We start from the raw sequence: 4,236 nt of genomic DNA on the forward strand, positions 1-4,236 counted from the left end.
AATATGTATAGGTTTACACTGAAATCCATTTTCAAAACTTTTAGGAACCAAGATCAGTAATGAAAAAAGACAAGTTTGAGAATAGCAAAGTCAGACATGTCAAAAAAATACATTCAAGAAATCATAAGAAGCAACATTAAACAGCAAAAATAGTCTTGAGAACCAAAGTAAAACTCACAGTCTGGGCCAGGCATGGTGGCTCACGCCCGTAATCCTAACACTTTAGGAGGCCAAGGTGGCAGACTGCCTGAGTGCAGAAGTTCAAGAGCAGCCTGGGCAACAGGGTGAAACCCCGTCGCTGCTAGACACAAAAAAAATTAGTCGGGTGTGGTGGCACATGGCTGTAGTGCCAGCTACTGGGGACGCTAAGGCATGAAAATTGCTTGAGCCCAGGAGGTGGAGGCTGCCGTGAGCCGAGATGGTGCCACTGCACTCCAGCCTAGACAACAGAGCAAGACTCTGTCTCAAAAAAAACAAAGCAAAGCAAAACAAAACAAAACACAACACTCACAGCCTAAAAATGTGGTTACACTCAAATATAGAATTGGAAGTTCTCACAGAGTTTCTACTGCCTAGGAATAACTTTGAGTAGGAGGAAAAAAGTTATTAGACTCCACCCTGGGTCAAGAGAAATTACGACTAATGTTGAAACATGAAAATGTCTAAGGCCATCATACATGTATATATGTAAAGATGTGATACAGTATGAATAAGAAATTTGTTAATGAATGTTTACTTGTAATATACATTGTTACTAATTAATAATAATCCTAATTCATCTGCTTAAGCTCACTATATTCAGCCAGCAAATGATCTAAGCTATATAAGACAGGTAGTTGTCTATTCTTTTCTTTAAACATTTCAAGATATAAAAATATCACATTTTTAGCTGCTTAGTTCAGTGTTATCACAAGGGCTTCCTTAAGCTGAATTAGCATACCATCAGAACTAAACTCAGTTCATTCTTTTTGTTCAGATGTTATACTGAATTCCATTGTATGAATTAGAACAGACCAGAATTTTCCTCCCAAAATACTTCATATACAACTGTTAGCCTTTAATGGCTATTTTCTAGAATAAAGACATATAAATGCTTTAGACACTTTCAATATTTTCTATCTAATAAGCCTTTTTTTTCACCTTTTATACTATTCTGAACCAGCTTTCTCCCCATTTTTGAAGTAGAAAAGCTGAAGTGTCAAGGAAAGGCCGTTTTTTAATCTTTGTGATTGTTTTTAACATAGTGGCAACAATCTGAAATGTTCTGCTCATGGTCAGCCATGAGCACAAAGCCTTTTAATCTGTTGTGCTTAATCAATTCTTTCATACCATACATTTAAAACAGTATGTCAATCCTAAAGATCTTACCAAATAGCACTCTCATATGTAGGATCGTATTTCCAATGTGTCAAAACAATAGAATTATATTTCTGCATTTCATCATATTAGACAATCTAAGTTTAGTATCTTCCACAAGGGTAACGGGGATATCTTCAACTGGTTCACTAAATTTATCAGATAATATAATAAACAAAGCAAAATCTCAGGACAAGGACACTAATTATTGAATCTAAATATAAGTTCAGAAGAGTGAGTGTAATTGTACTACCTTATTAGATCAAACCATATGAAATTGCCATTATTTGGTAAAATCAGTTAAGTATCAACAGTTTCATATAGTTCAAACTCAAGAGTAAAAAATTATAACAGTTTTTAATCACTAAATGTATAATCTTTTTCAAATAGATTGGCAGGCCTTTGAATTATAAACTCAAAGGTAATAGTGATGTCACAAGGGAGATATGCATACAGAGATAGTGATCGCTTCTCTAATTTGAAAAGGAGTTCTTCAAGTCTAGAAAGTTGTTATCCATTGATATAAATGGCCAAGTAAAAAAAGCACTTAAAAAAGCCCTTGACAGTCACTGATATATTCTTTCCAAACTCTTTTTCACAATAAATCTGTAGAAATTCACTGAGTTATACATGGCATAACCTTGATATCCTGCTCATCCCACTAATTAAAACTCCAGAAAAATAAAAAGGAAGAATTCCTTAAGAAGCTAAATTATAGGGTTAAGTTCATAAAAATACTAACTAAGAAATTATATTTCACCTGTCTACCAAGTTACTTTTCAATTGCCACAACAAAAGTTGGTTTTGAATTTCTTTAGGCTTTGGCCTCTTAACTCCAGAACATCTTTCATCTCTATTATTTCCATTGCACTGCTACTGTCTCAGGTCATCATTTTTAATACTGATGAATAAAATAATCTACCTACGGATATTGCTACATCAGTTTGTCCTTCAACTCATGTTTCACACTGGTGATTGTAAATCTAACAAAATAGCAATCTGAGCACATTTCCCCTATTTAAAATTCTTTAATTTTCATCACCAACTGAAAAAAAACGAAACACTAAAGTTACTACCATCCTATGAACCTTCCAAAACTGGCTGTAATCTCTGTCTCAGGCCTAATATCATAAAATTTCATTGTATCCTCTTTTGGTAAAACATACCTTGCTTTTTCGTGTCTTCTTGAAAAAAAAATTGCTCTATTCACAATTTGTAATGTCCTTACTATAGCAAAAACAATTTACTCTTCTTGATTCCTGAGACTACTGTTTATACACTTCATCAGTTTCCTGAGTATTGGAGGATCAACAGCAGCATTCTCCATTTATACTCTCTTATGTGTAAGATGCTATATTTATTCAAATATTCATAGAATAGGAATTATTCTAGGAGGAACAACTGTGCTCCATTGACGTCTAATAGTAATACTAATATTATAATCATACCTTATTCCATTTCTTTGATTAAATACTGGTATCATTGAGGCTGGGTGTTCTGACATTAAAGCCACCAGTAACTGTAGCACATCATGAATATTTTCATCCTGCATAAATCACCAATATTGATTTAAATTTTACTCTAAAGATTGGCTTAAATAATTAAAATAAAAGGTCCATAACATGTCCTACCTCATGTATTGTAAGAAGGTAATTTAATATACTCTGAAGTTCATCTTCTTTGACCCTTTGATCTTAATTTTTAAAAAATATTTTATTATTTTACATCTAAAATTAAAATTTTAATTTAAAAGACATCAAAATAATCATTTTAAAAGAAAATAAGAGTAAGTTTAATGTAGTGATATTTGAATTAAAATCCCCACACATTTCACAATTTATAGACTATATTATTTCAAGTTAATTAAGTAAATATTTAGAAAATCTTATCAATTTTTAAGTCATTAATATTTGATTGACATTCACTATAAAAAGTTAGCCTATTTTGACCATCGAAGTATTCTTATGACTATTTTCTAATCATTCTTTCTTGAATACAAGTGCAAGACTATACAGTATCAATTTTTGTGTATTACCTCAAAATTTATATTTATTTTCACTTTGTTTTCATCTTAACATTTAAAAAATCCTACTACAATAAAATACATTATGTAAGCCTTCTTAAACTGGCACACAGACCATTTTCTAGAATAATGGTCAATTACTATAAGAATAAGGGCTCAATTCTTATTCATATGTTCCTTGTCCATTTCTGTCACATCCCTTAATAGGGAAGATTTCAGAGAGCATTTAACCAGAAGTTAGTTAAGTTCAATAAAGTTAATATTAAGATGTGCAGAATTTTGGAAGCAATTCATTAATTAAAGGTAGCTATTACTAATTTAACAATAATAATTTTAAAACATGCCAGAAATTCCTTTCTACCTATATACTGTAATTCTAAATTATATAAAATTATTTTACTTTTAGTATGAGCTGTTTCAGAAAAAGTAGCATAAATGCCCTCAGTGATATAATTTCTTTTTGTGATGGCTGGGGACCATCAAGAACAAAACAGAAAAAAAAGTAAAAATAAAAAATACAAGATATTAAATAAGCTTAATGCAGTTATGTTGGGATACTATGGCATTCTTGAATAATTATATTTATTAAAATTACAATATTTACATTAATGCTATAAAATTTTAATAATATATGGGTATCCAAAAATTAACTTTCAAATTTTTGGCAATTTCAAATTATTTACTCAATGTCTGATTTTGTGGAAAAAAGAACTTTTAAAAAAGTTGTAATATATTAGTATCCATTTATAAATGTATAATCCCCAAGTATTTACATTAATACTTGAATACTTTTTTCTGTTTTTATTACATTAATAGGTTTCCCAATATGTCTTCCATTCTCAATTAAACTTGTCTTC

The sequence above is a fragment of the Homo sapiens genome, chromosome 15, assembly GCF_000001405.40.
Source record: "Homo sapiens chromosome 15, GRCh38.p14 Primary Assembly".
Taxonomy (NCBI): Eukaryota; Metazoa; Chordata; class Mammalia; order Primates; family Hominidae; genus Homo; species Homo sapiens.